We start from the raw sequence: 17788 nt of genomic DNA on the forward strand, positions 1-17788 counted from the left end.
AAATCTGACCTGTGACTGATTTATGCTTATTGCAAGAAAATAGTGAAAAACTCAGAATAGCCCAAGGCAAATGAGAGTTTAAATGGAAAAGTGAGTCTCTCAAATAAAAGCATCTACTAGAACTAGTTACTTATAAAAACAAGGAGACTATATTGTAGAAGTCAGATCACGTGTCATGGCAAACAAAGACAAACAGCAGCATGATCAAGAAGTCATAGTAAAACTGAAGGAAAAACCCTGTTTTATTTAGGCAATCCATTCTGGTATTTTTTTTTTCTTTTTTCTTGTCTGGTATCTTTTTTAGTCAGTAAGTTAAACAAATACTCACTGAGTACCTACTGTACTGGCCACATTACTTAATGCACAAAAGCTTGGGCTAGTCAAGCTATCATTGTGGAGAAAAGTATATTTGTAATTGGGAGAACAGAGTAAGAACAACACCAGTAACAAAAATTTTAGGTATATTTACAGTTACATAAATTTCATTTGCAAACATTTTCAGTAAATACCTTTCCTCTCTACCCTTCTTCTACCTTTTATTTCTATTTTCTTTATTCTACATTTGAATCCCTTACATACCTCTCATCTATGACTGTCTCCTATTCACACACTGACCACATTTAGACCTAGAAACACTTTAGAGATACCTGGTTTCACCATAAATCAGAAAGCCAAAGTTCAAACTAGTAATCTGCCTAGGATCCTAGAGCTCTTTTACTCTTTTAGTTTTTCCTTTTATAGGATCATTCAAGAAAACAAAGAAAAGTCTGACTTAAAAAAAAAGGTTGCACCTGGGTGCGGTGGCTCACACCTGTAATCCCAGCACTTTGGGAGGCTGAGGCGGGCAGATCACGAGGTCTGGAGATCGAGACCATCCTGGCTAACAAGGTGAAACCTCATCTCTACTAAAAATACAAAAAATTAGCCAGGCGTGGTGGCAGGCACCTGTAGTCCTAGCTACTCGGGAGGCTGAGGCAGGAGAATGGCATGAACCCGGGAGGCTGAGTTTGCAGTGAGCCGAGATCACGCCACTGCACTGCAGCCTGGGCAACGGAGCAAGACTCCATCTCAAAAAAAAAAAAAAAAAAAAAAAGGGTTTCAGCAATGTTTTTTCTAAAACCCGAGTGTACATCATATATCACTGTTTTACTGTATTGTTTGAGCATATTCCCAATTCTGTTTTCACATGAGTAATCAAACTAAAGATGATTAATTTCCTTCCCTCCTCCAGTTCACTGTGGTGATATTTTATTATAAACCTGGATATTTAAATCAAACAATAGGTACCTAAGAAAAAAAAATTTTTTTTGAGATGGAGTCTCGCTCTGTCACCCAGGCTGGAGCGCTGTGGCATGATCTCAGCTCAATGCAACCGCTCGCTGCCTCCTGGGTTCATGCAATTCTCCTGCCTCAGCCTCCCAAGTAGCTGGGATTACAGGCACCCACCACCACACCTGACTAATTTTTGTATTTTTAGGAGAGACGGGGTTTCACCATGTAGACCAGGCTGGTCTCGAACTCCTGGCCTCAAGTGATCCTCCCGCTTTGGCCTCCCAAAGTGCTGGGACAACAAGCGTAAGCCACCGTGTCCAACCTAAGAAAAATTTAATATTAGAACTAAAAATATATATAAATTTAAAAACTGTATTATTTGTAGTGCAAGCTCATTACTACATGACAATATACAATTTGGATTATACTAATTTGGATTATCCAAATGCATAATTTGGATAATCCAAATGCATAATTTGGATTATATTATACTTTGGATGCATAATATTCTAATGAACATATAGTAATATCATTATTTTAATACATTTTATAATGTAAATGCTATCTTTGTCCCTGACAGAGTTGTTGTCAAGTTTGTTTCCTTTAAAGTGATTTTTTTCAAAAAAAGTGTTAATGCTTCTTCTTAAATTTTGTGTCCAATATTCCTCACATGATATCTTGAAATGTATTCAGTTGTCAGGAAATTCTACAGTCGCTGCATACAGCTCTTTCAAGAATTAGCAAGTTTTCAGAATTTAGAATTTTGGTTTAATCAAAATCTTTTAAGAATTTTTTGTAAAAAAAATTAATGTTTTATATTAAGTTTTTTTAGACTTTGCAAAAGACTGCTTTTAACAATTAAAATAATTCTGGGTATAAAAGGAAGGAATTATATAGTTATATACTAATGATATCAGATGTAATTTTAGAAATCTGAAGAAAAATGAAAAATAAAATTTAAATATTTGAGAGAAAAGTACTTCAACACCTAAAATTAACCTCACAATCAAAAGGGATCTTAAAGATAGGTGAATGAAAATTTTTTATATCCCTTCACAAAACTGTGCTGCTTTGTGTCTACAAATCTATGAAATAAGTACGTGGGCTGTGAAGGGATTTCTATGCTCTGATTTGACTCTAGGAAAGCCAATAGAATAGCGGAGTTCTTGAACAGGCTAATACCTAAGCACCCCAAACCTCTATCTGTAACTTCTGTTCTACATTGTACCTACTCAAGAGTTATTTTAGTATGAAAACAGAACTGAAAAGTTCCTATTTCTTTATAATCATCAGATATTATATCATTATCTATTACTATAAACTATCTGTACTTAGAGCCCAGGATAACCATTAAGCACTCTCGGCATGGATCTAGAAAGCAATAAACTTCCCATTATAAGGCTTGAGTTTCCCATTTGATGCATGCCCAGTTTGAGTAAGGGCCATACTGACACATGTTAGGATCACGGAAAACAGGCCTTTTCACCCTAAGGATGTGATCTCTTTAGGTGAGAGGGACTGCCCTCAGGTGAAACTACCAGAAAAGTCCTAAGCTCCTGGGCTGGCAACGATGGCTTACGCCTGTAATCCCAGCACTTTGGAAGGCCAAAGCAAGAGGATTGTGTAAGCCCAGGAGTTCAAGACTACCCTGGGCAACACAGTGAAACCTCATCTCCACAAAAAAATTTAAAAATGAGGCAGGAAGATTGCTTGAGCCCAGGAGTTTGAGGCTGCAGTGGACTGTGATTATACCATCGCACTCCCACCTGGGTGACAGAGCAAGACCCTGCCTAACAAAAAAAAAAAGAAAGAAAGAAAAGTCCTAAGCTCCACCTCCATGAAAAATGGTTGACTCTTTAAGGGTAATTTATAGAAAATTATGCAAATCAAGAGAATTAGTAGCTTCGGAAAAATAATACCTGGCTTTGCAGTAAATATTATATAGTTATAATAATGTAAATACTGATGACTGATTTAACTAAACCTGTGTTAACTATATTAGAAAGATAGGGTAAGAAGAAATACAGGAGCATAAAAAAGATAAAATCTTATCTACCACTATCAGGAAGTCATAGACAATGTCTAAAAGGAATAAATCAAGAAATACCAGAATAGACACATTATCCCTATATATGGGCTAAATAACAGAAGAAATTGCTTTTAAAAAAGTTTAAAAAGCTGTCACTCTGGGCCAGGCACAGAGGCTCATGCCTGGGAGGTCAAGGCGGGTGGATCATGAGGTCAGGAGTTCAAGACCAGCCTGGCCAAGATGGTGAAACCCCGTCTCTACTAAAAATTAAAAAAAAAATTAGCTGGGCGTGGTGGTGGGTGCCTGTAATCCCAGTTATTCAGGAGGCTGAGGCAGAGAATTGCTTGAGCTGGGAGGCGGAGGTTGCAGTGAGCCGAGATTGCGCCACTGTACTCCAGCCTGGGCGACAGAATGAGACTCTGTCTCAAAAAAAAAAAAAAAAAAGTGGCACTCCAGAGAACTGAACTGAGATATGAGGAGAAATACAGCAGAGAATTTTTGTTTGTCACTGTGAACCTTTTGGTACTAATTAATTTTTTAAGCACGTAAAACATTTTTTAAGGACTTTTTATTGTTTCATGAAACCTATTTCATTTACCTGAGGGAAAAATATTAATAATTGTGTTGGATTGTTACTTAGCTGAAGCACATTTGATAAAGCTATCTCTGCATAGAATTCGATGTCAGGAATTCAGAGTCATAAGACATTTGTGAGACTAAGCATAAACCATAAGAAAAGAAAACAGTATTAAAAATTTCTTCTATAAAAAGAATGCATCCTATATAAAGACAGAAAAAACACTCATTCCTGTGTGTGTGTGTTTTTATCAGCTTCCTCAGGTTGAATCCTGTATTCTATTACTTTTAATATAATAAAAATCACAATACAGTAATTTAAACAAACAGTATGGTATGACTCCAGAATGCTCTAAAAAGAAATGTAGTCTATTAAGTATGACTCACAGAATTCTCTAAAGAGAAAATGTAGTCTATTAAATATTCCAAATATTCTGCCTTTCATTTTAATACTTAAAATGCAAAACAAAAATTAATTCAGAATAATCACAATTAATAAAGTTTTTATCAGGCTCTTTTTGAAAGCATACTATACCATTTTTTTCTAAAGAATGTATCTTTGGAAAGGCCGTTTTCTAAAATAAAAGATGAGCTACTGAACAATATACATGTGACATGTCAAACGTGAGCAAGTACCTTTCCAATCACACACAGCTATTTCCAAGGCAACACAATTTCAAGTCAACCATCTTCTTTATAAGATGAAAACTAAAAAAATGCTTTAGTGACAAATAGCCTAGCAATATGGCTCAAATCTGTCCAACCAGGAGTTAAATGCAACATGGCAGTAAAAGAGGGCCTCAAGCAATTTCACATTTATAAATGATCTACTTATGACAAGTTGCATTAATTTCAATTAAAATAATAAACGGACAGTAGTATTATCAACCACTGTATATAAAAATTTGTAAATCAGGAAAAAAGATGAAGTTAAAGTTAGCAATTTTGCAACGCTAATACTCTGAGATTTGGTCCTTGTATGATCAAGGATTATATCTTTACTTATTCATTAACTAATATATATAAGAAACAGAAATCTGATAGCTTTAATGGCTCTATGCTCTTCTCCTCCAGAATGTAAACCTGTTGTATGTCCTCTTGGACCATCTGTTCTGTGTTGGTGCTTAACTGATGGTGGTTTTTGATCATGGCACTGTAACTTAAAACTATGGTTGTAGTGTGGTCTTTTAATAAATTTTTGAGATAATTTATAAAATAACATAACTATGTAATATTTGCATGTCACTATGATACATCTGAAATAACTAATTTATGTATCTAACTTTAAATGTGCATAAACCAGAATGTTTGCTTTATGAAAAATAATTAACTGGGTAAACAGCACCACCATTAAGGGTTATCCAAGTATCCAAGTAGTAAGGTATTTCAGGAAAATTAATGGCTTTTTTATTTTGCAGCACTGGTCTGAGGGTACATAGAAAATTAGTGGTTTTAAGGGAAAAAATGTATTGGCTAGGGGAGGTGGCTCATACCCATAATCCCAGCACTTTGGGAGGCTGAGGCCAGAGAATTGCTTCAGGCCAGGAGTTTGAGACCAGCCTGTACAACACAGCAAGACTCCTTGTCTACAAAAAAACAAAATTTTAATTAGCTGGGGACAGTGGTGTGTGCCTGCAGTCCTAGCTACGCAGGAGGCTAAGACAGGAGGATCACTTGAGGCCAGGAGTCAGAAGCTTCAGTGAACTATGATCTCACCACTGCATTCCAGCCTGGATGACAGAGAAAGACTCTGTCTCCAAAAAAAAAAAAAATATATATATATATATATACATATGTGTGTGTATGTATGTGTGTGTGTATACATATATATATATATATATATATATATATATATATATATATTCCTTCAACTTAATTTCTCCCCCCCATAAATTCAAATTCAATTACTTTGCATGACAGCCAACAATAAATCTAATATTAATATAAGCTTTTACCTATCTACAGAATATTTTCACATATATTAACTATCTTGAACTTCACATTGACTGAACAGTCATTCTTGGAGAGGTACATGACATATAATTACCATACAGAGATTACAGACACAGCCTTTCATGTTTTTGTTCTCATAATTTTGGACACATTAAGTTACCTTTTCGAAAGTTGGAAAATCTATGACATTTTCTAGTTAGCCCAAGATTAAGCTAGCAGTAGGGCATGATATTCACTGATTTAACAAACAGAAGTAATGCTTTAATTTAAAAACTGCAAATGGACACAAAAATAATTAAAATCCAGTACTATACATATACTTTACTTTGGTTTCATCTAAACTTAATAAAATGGCTGAACCCACCCTTTATTTCTTTTAGAATAAGTCAACTTAGCCCTTCAAATATTAAGTTAGCAGTTTTTTAACTTTTGGTCTCAGAACCCCTTTTTACTCTTTAAAATTATTGCAGACTCCCAAAGAGCTTTTGTTTATGTGGGTTATAACTATCTATATTTACTATATTAAAATTTAAAATAAAGAATTTTTAAAAATATTAATTCACCTAAATGTAACAGTGTTTGTTAACATAAAGAACATTTTTATAACTTTTCAAAACTTAACATTTTAGTGGGAAATAACATTCTTTCACTTCTTTGCAAATCTCAGTGTTTGGCTTAATAGAATACAGCTGTTTTCTTAAACCTGCTTCTGCATTCGGTGGTTGTGATACATTGTTTTGCTTTAAGTATAAGAAATATGACCGCACACAAGTATGTAATTAGAAAAAGGAAAATTATTTGATTGGCATATTCATACAATTATTGATATTCTTCTTTGATATTACCAAAATTCAGTAAGGGTTATTTCTTAAAGGTTAAGTGCAATATGGAATCTGAAACTCTATCAATGAACTTTTCTTTCTCTGTTTTACATTAAAATCCATTGGTCTATCTGGCACGTTCAATGGATCTTTTAACTATGTATGCATAACTTCTTAACATCGTGCATTGGTCATTTAGAAATTATTGGTTCTTTGAATTATACAGATCTTCCAAATGTCGGCACATTTTATTACTATTTAAAAAAAAAAAAAAACCGGCCAGGCGTGGTGGCTCATGCCTGTAATCCCAGCACTTTGGGAGGCCAAGGCAGGCGGATCACAAGGTCAAGAGATCGAGACCATCCTGGCTAATATGGTGAAACCCCATCTCTACTAAAAATACAAAAAATTAGCCAGGCGTGGTGGTGGGCACCTGTAGTCCCAGTTACTAGGGAGGCTGAGGCAGGAGAATGGCGTGAACCCAGGAGGCAGAGCTTGCAGTGAGCCGAGATCACGCCACTGCACTCCAGCCTGGGCAACTGAGCAAGACTCCGTCTAAAAAAAAAAAACCACATTCATTAATATCACCTCCAATCTCATCAGAAAAGTCTTTAAATATTGAGTAGCTGTCAAGCCCATGTTTTCTATAAATCAAATTTCATCATTGACAACAAATACAATCAGTTGTTTTCCCTGAAGTGACAGGCTCACTTTATTCATTTCTGAGGAACTGTCTGCCCAGTACTCAAGTATTAACAACCAGTTTGTCTGTCATTCTTTCAAGTAAAAATGGTGTTCCAAAAAACAGAGACTACTTCAACCTTGGAACTCAAAAACCATGAGTACTTTTTCTTGAGATAATCATCGCACTTTGTTATGCAAGAACATTATGTATGGTTCCCGTTTTGCCCACAGAATGTTAAAAAGATTCAAGGGTCAAGACCCAACAAAATAACTTTTATTGCTTCATCAAGGACATTTTTAAGTGAAACTGGGTTTATTTATTATACCTTACAAGTGTGTAACGAGAAGAATACAATGATTGCCCACACAATTTGGTACAATTCCTTGATTCATACTAAAATGTCAGCAGTTTTACTTACCTTTGCTTTTGCATCATCAGTGCTTTAGCAACACACGCATAAAAAGGCAAAGGACATCTTAGTATTATTATGAAAATAATTCTGACCTGACAGACAACCTTGAAGGAATCTCTGTGCTAGCAGGGGTCTGATCTCATTTGAGAACTACTGTATTAGGCAAATCAATTCCTGTTCTTGGTATAGAGACCTGGGGACTTAATATTATGCTAATCTAGAACATTCACTTACATGGTTGCCAACCTCATGACCAGTAACTGAAACAAAAGAAGATTGTTTAATAGATTCAATGGACAGCACTGATCTGTGATGGAACATTTTACCCATTGTCACTAAGCCTTAAGATTGGGTCACAGAAGTTGGTTTTAATTTGTTTTAATCAGTATTCTGGAGTAGTAATTGCTCCAGATCTACTTAGGCCTAGAGACTCAAGAAATTCCAAAGTGGGCTGATATACAGTCACGTATTTCCCTTGACCAGTGACAGACTTATCTACTATGGCTTTCACTCCCATACTATCAATTCAGTATAGTAAGGCTTCTTAATCTGTACTCCCCTCCTAAGGTAATTTAAATAGTTCACTTGATTAATTATGGGTGACAAGTATCACTTTCTCTTTTGAGATGAAAGCCCTTTAAAATGAGAGAAAAATCCCAAAGAACAATGTCTTCTAATTAATGAATTAAATTTAGTCATAGAAACTTACCTTAAGTAAGCAGTTTTTAAATTTGGTAAGAAAATCTTTTTTCCAATCATCAATTTCTCTAATTTTTTAAAAAGTCCCCACACAGGACAACTCTAAGTATATAAATTTCTATTAGTGAGAGTAGAATAAGATTACCACAATATCGGTTTAATTTGTCTTTTTCAGTGTACCAGAAAAGTGCTCCAAAAGGCTCAATGCTAACTCCATTATAAACCCACCAATTAAAGGCAAAATAATAGATACCTATTACAAAAGCACTAAGACAAACAAAAATTAAATTAGAAATATAATAAAAAGTAAAATAGAAGACAAAAAATAGCCACACATACATTTGAGATGCAATGAACCAAGTTAGAGGAAAGATACACATACAGAAAGGTAAGGAATTATTAATAGTCAAGTTAACAAAACTTTCAGTCATGGTCTACAAATGGTCCATGAGAAAGAAACTGTTTTGGGGACCTCCAATTTAGCAAAATAGTTGTTTTTTCGAGACAGAGTTTCACTGTGTTGGCCAGGCTGGAGTGCAGTGGCATGATCTCGGCTCACTGCAACCTCTGCCTCCCGGGCTCAAGCAATTCTCCTGCCCCAGCCTCCCCCGAGTAGCTGGGGTTACAGGCATGTGCCACCATGCCCAGCTAATTTTTGTATTTTTAGTAGAGATGGGGTTTCACCATGTTGGCAAGTCTGGTCTCAAACTGACCGCAGGTAATCCGCAAGCCTCGGCCTCCCAAAGTTCTGGGATTACAGGCATGAGCCACTGCGCCCAGCCGCAAAATAGTTTTTAAAAGGCAAAGGAATAAATGACCTAAGATTTTAAAATACTGTATTGTACTATTCCTCAACTTGGTTCCTCCACTAAGGCTAGTCCCCTCACCATTTCCCAAATCATACATGCAGTATGCTTTTCCCCTAAAACGCTTCCTTGGCCTAAAATACCCTCCTCTCCTCACGGATAGCTATCCAAGTTCAGTCACCTTTCAAGGTTTAAATCAAATCTAACTTCCTCCACAGATAGGTTTCCCTGACTAAACATACCTTCAAAGGCCAAACCTAACTTCTAGACATCAGGGCTCCCTAATTTATTCCAGTTCACACACCCACACAACTCACTCTCTCAGCACACTCTCTCTCTCTCAAAAGAAACATGAAACCCATACAGATTAATGAAAGAAAAGAAAAGAAAAAAAGCAACCTAATAACTAGAGATTTGTTTTCAAATACCTGCTTGGGATCATTCACTATTAACTACAGGTTTGTCTTAGTCAGTATACACATTCAGTACTATGCTTCAGGGTCCCCAACCCCTGGGCCGAGGACCAGTACAGGTCTGTGCCCTGTTAGGAACCAGTCTGCATGGCAGGTGAGCGGTGGGCAGGCAAGCATTACCACCTGAGCTCTGCCTCCTGTCAGACTGGCGGCAGCATTAGATTTTCTTAGGAGCACGAACCCTATTGTGAACTGCCATACAAGGGATCTAAGTTGCCCACTCCTTATGAGAATCTAATGGCCCCCGCCCTGGTCCGTGGAAAAAACTGTCCTCCATGAAAATGATCCCTACTGCAAAAAAGGTTAGGGGCTGCTGCTATACTTAATACTTAAGTTAAAAAAAAAAGATACAGGCCAGGTGCGGCGGCTCACGCCTATAATCCCAGCACTTTGTGAGGCTGAGGCGGTTGGATCACGAGGTCAGGAGATCAAGACCATCCTAGTTAATACGGTGAAACCCCGTCTCTACTAAAAATACAAAAAATTAGCTAGCTGTGGTGGCACGCGCTGTAGTCCCAGCAACTCAGGATGCTGAGGCAGGAGAATTGCTTGAATCCGGGAGGTGGAGGTTGCAGTGAGCCAAGATCGGGCCACTGCACTCCAGTAGCCTGGGCAACAGAGTGAGACTCTGTCCTGAAAAAAAAAAAAAAAATACAAATTCTGAATCATTACATGTACATTCTATTTACAAAGGTGGAAATATAGTCTAATTCATTTGCAAAGATATGAAATAAGGAGTTGGGAAAAATTAAGTTAACCTTCAAATATGAGAAAACTCACCCCATTTTCCCTAATTATTCAAGTTAACTGGGATATTACTATAATTCACCCTTTTAAACCAGTCTTGGTAAAAATAGATTGGGGGTTTTGTCTTTCCATTGATATTTCCCTGTAAATTCTCATCCTCCACTACTTTGTAATAGTTCAGGTCTTAATCAAGGACTAGTGTCCGGGCATGGTGGCTTACACCTGTAATCCCAGCACTTGGGAGGTTGAGGCAGGCTGATCACTTGAGGTGAAGAGTTTGAGAGCAGCCTGGCCAACATGGAAAAACCCCGTCTCTACTAAAAATACCAAAAAATATTTAGCCGGGTGTGGTGGTACACAACTGTAATCCCAGTTACTCGTGAGGCTTAGGCATGAGAATCTCTTGATCCCAGGAGGCAGAGGCTGCAGTGAGCTGTGACCAGACCACTGCACTCCAACTTGGGTGACACAGGGAGACCCTGTCTCAAATAAAAAAAAAAAATCAAAGACTAGTATCCAACATCTAAAACTAAACCAACTTCCGTGGTCCTTCACCACCCAGGGAAAGGAGACATTAACAGTTATGTTATCGATGATAATGTGAAGTTCAACTTTTTTTCTAGCCTTCACCAGGAAAATCAGTCACATTAAGAATACAAGCCAGGCACAGTGGCTAATGCCTATAACCCCAGGACTCTGGGAGACCAAGGCGGGAGGACTGCTTGAGCCCAGGAGTTCAAGACCAGCCTGGGAAACAAAGTAAGACCCCATCTCTACAAAAAAAAATTTTAATTAGCCAGGCATGGTGACATACACCTATAGTCCCAGCTATTCAGGAAGCTGAGGTAGGAGGATCATCTGAGACTGGGAGGTCAAGGATGCAGTGAGCTGTGATCATGCCACTGCATTCCAGCCTGGGCAACAGGGCAAGACCCTGTCTCAAGAAAAAAAAAAGAATATACTGTCTAAAAATTTTCCATGAAGGACTACTGAGATATCTCACAAAGTCTGATTTTTAACATAAGGATTATGTTAATATAAAAAGTTATGGGCTGGGCAAGGTGCCTCATGCCTGTAATCCCAGCACTTTGGGAGACTGAGGCAGGTGCATCATTTGATGTCAGGAGTTCGAGACCCGCCTGGCCAACATGGTGAAATCCCGTCTCTACTAAAAATACAAAAATTAGCCAGGCATGGTGGTGGGTGCCTATAATCCCAGCTACTTGGGAGGCTGACACAGGAAAGTGGCTTGAAACCGGGAGGCAGAGGTTGTAGTGAGCCAAGATCGCATCACTGCACTCCAGCCTGGGTGACAGAGCAAGACTCTGTCTCAAACAATAAGTAAATAAAATAAAATAAAATAAAATGTTATAAACAATTACCTTTTTTTCCTTCCCCACTATTACATTATTTCTTAATTTATTCATTGCCCAGCTTTCTAGTTTAATTTTTTTTTTTTTTTTGAGACAGAGTCTTGCTCTGTCTTCCAGGCTGTAGTGCAGTGGCATGATCTCAGCTCACTGCAGCCTCCACCTCCCAGGTTCAAGGAACTCTCCTGCCTCTGCCTCCCGTGTAGCTGGGATTACAGGCACCCACCACCATGCCCAGCTAACTTTTGTATTTTTAGTAGAGACGGGGTTTCACCATGTTGGCTTGGCTGGTCTCGAACTTCTGACCTCAAGTGATCCACCTGCCTCGGCCTCCCAAAGTGCTGGGATTACAGGTGTGAGCCACCGCGCCTGGCCCTTTCTACTTTAATTCAAAATACTAACTTCTACCTCTAGTGTTAAATCAAGAGATCATAGTTTCATTAAAAAAATAAGGAAGAAAGTTCCTTCTCCACTTTACGTATCTTCATTTTATTCTATTTTATCCACCCATTAGTACTGTCTAATCTTGGTCCTAATCACTATTCAGAATTGCAACCTCCAAAATCTCAAATTCTGAAAATCTACTCTGACCTTGACCTCCTATCTTTTCACCCTCTCTCATGCCCTCACTTCTAACCTACTCTTCCTTCATTCTTATTACAACTCTCAGAGGCGTTTGAACCAGAGCAACTCCATCTCGAATAGGGGCTAGGTAAAATAAAGCTATGACTTGCTGAGCTTCATTCCCGGACAGTTAGGCATTCTAAGTCACAGGTTGAGATAAGAGGTTGGCACAAGATACAGGTCATAAAGACCACGCTGACAAAACAGGTTGCAGTAAAGAAACTCACCAGAGCCCACCAAAACCAAGATGCTGACAAGAGTGTCCTCTGGTTGTCCTCACTGCTACACTCCTACCAGTGCCATGACAGTTTACAAATGCCATGGCAATGGCAGGAAGTTACCCTATATGGTCTAAAAAGGGGAGGCATGAATAATCTACCCCTTGTTTGGCATATCATCAAGAAATAACCACAAAAATGGGCAATCAGCAGCCCTCATGGCTGCTCTGCCTGTGGAGTAGTCATACTTATATTCCTCTACTTTCTTAATAAACTTGCTTTCACTTTATAGACTTGCCCTAAATTCTTTCTTGCCCAAGATCCAAGAACCCTCTCTTGGGGTCTGGATTGGGACCCCTTTCCAGTAACACAACCTTTACTCTGTAAGTTCCTCCTGATACTTGCTTTCTTCCTCACTTTAATGCTCACACATTATTATTCAACTATTCAGCTAAGAATCTGTAGTATGTTTTTTCTCTCATCCCACGTCTGTTTATTCAGAATTTCCAATTCTGAATAAATTCTACAGGTATTTTCGTCAGTTTCTGAGCAGCTAAGCATTACTGGTTACTCAACCATGCTATGCTCACTGGCTCAACTACAAATGTGTGGTTTCCAAATCTCAAATAAGCCATCAACCCTGCATGACAATACTTGTATTCATCTTTAACTGACACTCTTTGTGATTTCCTCTTAGCAGCCTTGTAAAATGTTTCCACTTTTCTCAAACTTCCTAATTCCTCCACCGTTATTTACATCTTCATGCCTCTTTTTCATGCTATTTTCTTTGCTTAAAATGTCCTTCCTTCCACTCTCCCACTACTTATGACTCCTGTTCACTCTGATTTCTCCTACGGAGCTCTCATGTCCAGCTCAAACATCATCTCCTCCAAGAAGCCTTTCCTCCATGTAAATCATCACTTCCCTTTCTGTGCGAACACTGTCTCAAGAACATAATTCCTTATCATGGCACAGATACCACATTGCAATTTGTTTACATGCACCTCCCCCTTATTGTGGGCAAAGCATCCTATTCCTAGCATCTAACAGTTTATTACACAGTAAGTACTTAGAAACTATTCCCATATTAATTGATCTTTGAATGAACTAGCCCTTCATCCCTCTCACTGAGTATTACATTTAGATCCTGATGAGAGAGCTCTGCCCTGAGTCCAACTCCGGCCCTCCTCGGCCCACATGCTTCCACTGGGAGAGGAGTCCATGTAAACAGGGGGATGTGCCTATATACCTCCCTTTTTTTTTTTTTTTTTTTTTTCAGACAGAGTCTCACTGTCACCCAAGCCGGAGTGCAGTGGCGCAATCTCGGCTCACTGCAACCTCCGCCTCCCAGCTTCAAGTGATTCTCCTGCCTCAGCCTCCCGAGTAGCTGGGATTACAGGGGCCCGCCAACATGCCCTGCTAATTTTTGTATTTTTATTAGAGACGGGGTTTCACCATATTGGCCAGGCTGATCTTGAACTCCTGACCTCAAGTGATCCACCCGCCTCAGCCTCCCAAAGTGCTGGGATTACAGGTGTGAGCCCCCAAGTCTGGCCTACCTCCCCACTTTTAAATGACACTCCAGGTGCCCAGAACTTTGCAATTTCTTGCCCAAGCACTTCTAACTCAATTTGAAGGCCCACACAGGCCTCTTTCCTAGGTCTGTCCTTAGAAAAGACTGTGCTACACTTGTGTACACCCTTGGGCCAAGGAGTACTTGTTTGGGGATGGGAGTACAAGAGCTTAGACCTTGTGCGTGCATGCAAGGTGTTCACAGCATGTACAGGAGACCTCTTTGTGGTGCTAGAAAGAGCCAGAGATGACGGGAGGAGGTTGGGCTTAACCACACTCTGCTGCAAAACTGTGAATTTATGAATTCTAAATTCCACAGATTTTAAATTTGAAACTTTCAAGTCATTATGAAGGTATATTTATCAAGAGAAAAGACTAGAATATAGATAATGATTTGTTGGCCTGGTTTATAAGCTTTAAATATTTAGGCCTATTGTGGTAAATGGATGCTTATCCTGGATCTTACAAATGTTAGGGGCAGATCTCCTCTCACTCAGAGTGAAGTTGATGGGTTTTATCCACCTATTTTTATTAATTATTAAAGTAGGCCAGGCACACTGGCTCACGCCTCTAATCTCTGCACTTTGGGAGGCTGAGGTGGTGGATAGCTTGAACCCAGGAGATTGGAACCAGAATGGGCAACACAGCAAAACTCTGCCTTTACAAAAAACAAAAAACAAAAAAAAGAAAAGAAAAATTAGCTGGGCATGGTAGTAGTCCTAGCTACTCAGGAGGCTGAGGTGAGAGGATCGTTTGAGCCCAGGAGGCAGAGGTTGCAGTGAACCAAGATCTCGCCACTGCATTCCAGTCTCGGCAAGAGAGAGAGGCCTTGTCTCAAAAAAAAAAAAAAATTATTAAACTAGTAAAATAGATCTAAGAAGGCATAAAAATAGAATCAGGAATAAAGAGAACATTTAAAGTAATTTTCCAGTTTCAATAACTAGCTAAATATTAAATGATTGATTCAGGATTTAAACTTTCAAGCCCATGTTTTTGTTTTTGCCCTCCCACCACTCTGACTCTCCAAAAGCAGCCAGTTTACTAATTAATAAATTAAGTATTATACAGATGTCCCAGTACCAAGTATAATCTCAAATACTATTTCTGAATATTGAAAACTTAATGCCTAGAATGGTATCAAACTGTTTCATGGATCCTAAAAGAAAGTCAGCTGGTGTCCTTTTGAAAGAACTGGTCTTCCTTTCCATTTATCCTGTGAGAACTAGTCTCCCATAATATATATTAAGAGAAAATTTTCAGTTAAAAAATTTAAAAATACTCTCAGGTATAACAACTAGTTCACCTGTTCTTCTCTAGGTTCTCATCATTTCTGTAGTTTAACTACATATGAATCATATTGAGAATGAGGCAATCACAATGGACTTTTCTTGAAGACAGTCCAATACAAAGCTGTGGACAAAAAAATCTCAACATGGCCCAGGCACGGTGGCTCATGCCTGTAATCCCAGCATGAGATTTTGGGAGGCTCAGGTGGACAGATCACTTGAGGTCAGGAGTTCGAAACCAGCCTGGCCAAAATGGTGAAATCCCGTCTCTACTAAAAACACAAAACTTCACCAGGCACGGTGGTGGGCACCTTGTAATCCCAACTACTCAGGAGGCTGAGACAGGAGAATTGGTTGAACCTGGGAGAAGGAGGTTGCAGTGAGCCGAGATCACGCCACTGTACTCCAGCCTAGACGACAGAGTAAGACTCCGTCTCAAAAAAAAAAAAAAAAAAAAAAAACTCAACATATTGGACAGGAAAGTTATTGGAAACCAAACTGAAAGCACTGTATATTCTAATACTATAAAAAACCATGGACCATGAAATCTTGCTCCTATCACCTTGCCTCAAAGGAGATATAACATCGGTGGGAAAAATATCCAATAAAGGTAATTAAAACAAATACGGGGAAAGAGAGAGAACAAACAAAAAGGAGAAACAGAAGACAAACTAAAAAATAAACTAAATTCTACAGTACTAAAACTAGAAGGTATTCTCAAAATTTTGAAAATTAATAAAATTGCAGCTATCTTCACTTATTCCTTCAACATTTACTTACAACTTACGACATGCCAACTTCTATGCTAGGTGCTAGTGATACATGCTAAGTACTAGGTTAGGTGCTAGTAATATGTGAGACAAAACATCTAGCCCCTAAACAGTAATACTGCAAAGCAATAGCTACGCAGGTGAAGGTACTTCCGAATCATAAGGAAGAAAACAACTCTGCCTGGGGACTTCACAAGGTATTAAAGGAAGAGCAGGAATTGGTTAGTCAAAGAAAAGGGGAAGGATAGTCTAGAGCAGGAGTCTCTAACCCCTGGGCCATGGATTGGGTCCATGGCTTGTTAGGAAAGCCACACAGCAGATCAGTGGTGGGCGGGCAAGCATTACTGCCTGAGCTCTGCCTCCTGTCAGATCAACAACAGCATTAGATTCTCACAGGACCACAAACCCTATTGTGAACTGTAGATGCGAGGGATCTAGGTTGCACTCTCCTCATAAGAATCTAATGGCTGATGATCTGAGGTAGAACAGTTTCATCCTGAAACCATCTCCCCTCAGCCTTGCTCCATGTAAAAATCGTCTTCCATGAAACCAGTCCTTGCTGCCAAAAAGGTTGGGGACCGCTGGTCTTGAAGAAAATAATTCTAATGATAATAATATAAATAAAACAATAAAGAGCTAACATTTATTGGACACTTTCTATATGTTAAGCATTGTACATACATTATTCTATTTGATTCTCATAACAATCCTGTGACTTTTTATCCCACTTACAAATTAAGTAACTTACTAAAGATCATACAGCTATATAGAGGTGACACTAACAGAGATCATACAAAACTAAGCTGTCGGCCAGGCGCAGTGGCTCATGCCTGTAATGCCAGCCACTTTGGGAAGCTGAGGTGGGAGGATCACTTGAACCCAGGAATTCAAGACCAGCCTGGGCAAAAAAGTGAGACCCGGTCTCTATAAAAAAAATTTTAAAAAATTAGCCAGGTGCAGTAGCACATGCCTGCAGTCCCAGCTGCTTGGGAAGCTGAGGTGGGAGGATTGCTTCAGCCTAGGAGTTTGAGGTTGCAGTGGGTTGCGATTGTGCCACTGCAGTCCAGCCTGGGTGACAGAGTGAGATCCTGTCTCAAAAACAAACAAACAAACAAAAAAACTAAGCTGTGAACTATCATGATTTACTTGAGGAGCCATAAGTAGGTAGATATAGCATAGCACAGGATAATAATAATGACAGCAACCAGCACTGGGGATATAGTGGGTCAACAAAACAGAAAATAGACTTATCTGTCCCTGCCTTAGTAGATAATCCTTCCCCATCAGGAAGGGAAACATTATCTCCCATCTTATAAATGTAGGAACTGTAATTTGGAGATATTAGGCTCACATACCAATAAGTAGCACAGCTAGAACTGAACCCAAGTCTATGTCTATCTGACATAAGGCTCAAATTCATTCCACTTTACTACACATGGCTGTATTATTCAATCATTCAACAGAAATATATCAAG

At 38.8% G+C, this 17788-nt stretch overlaps 1 protein-coding gene across 4 annotated transcripts in view, besides 1 other annotated feature; it reads right to left on the reverse strand.

Moving 5' to 3' along the window:
- The window catches only part of CCDC88A (coiled-coil domain containing 88A), a 132015-nt gene that overhangs the window by 107958 nt on the left and 6269 nt on the right, over positions 1 to 17788 (reverse strand). The window lies entirely within an intron of this gene.
- Positions 13050 to 13630: an enhancer, noted in NCBI's record as "OCT4-NANOG hESC enhancer chr2:55635985-55636565 (GRCh37/hg19 assembly coordinates)". NCBI's record gives its function as "activates a minimal SCP1, AML or CMV promoter by ChIP-STARR-seq in naive H9 embryonic stem cells {active_cell/tissue: H9 hESC(naive)}" and the evidence as "EXISTENCE:reporter gene assay evidence [ECO:0000049][PMID:30033119]".

Source organism: Homo sapiens, chromosome 2, assembly GCF_000001405.40.
Source record: "Homo sapiens chromosome 2, GRCh38.p14 Primary Assembly".
In the NCBI taxonomy this organism is placed as follows: Eukaryota; Metazoa; Chordata; class Mammalia; order Primates; family Hominidae; genus Homo; species Homo sapiens.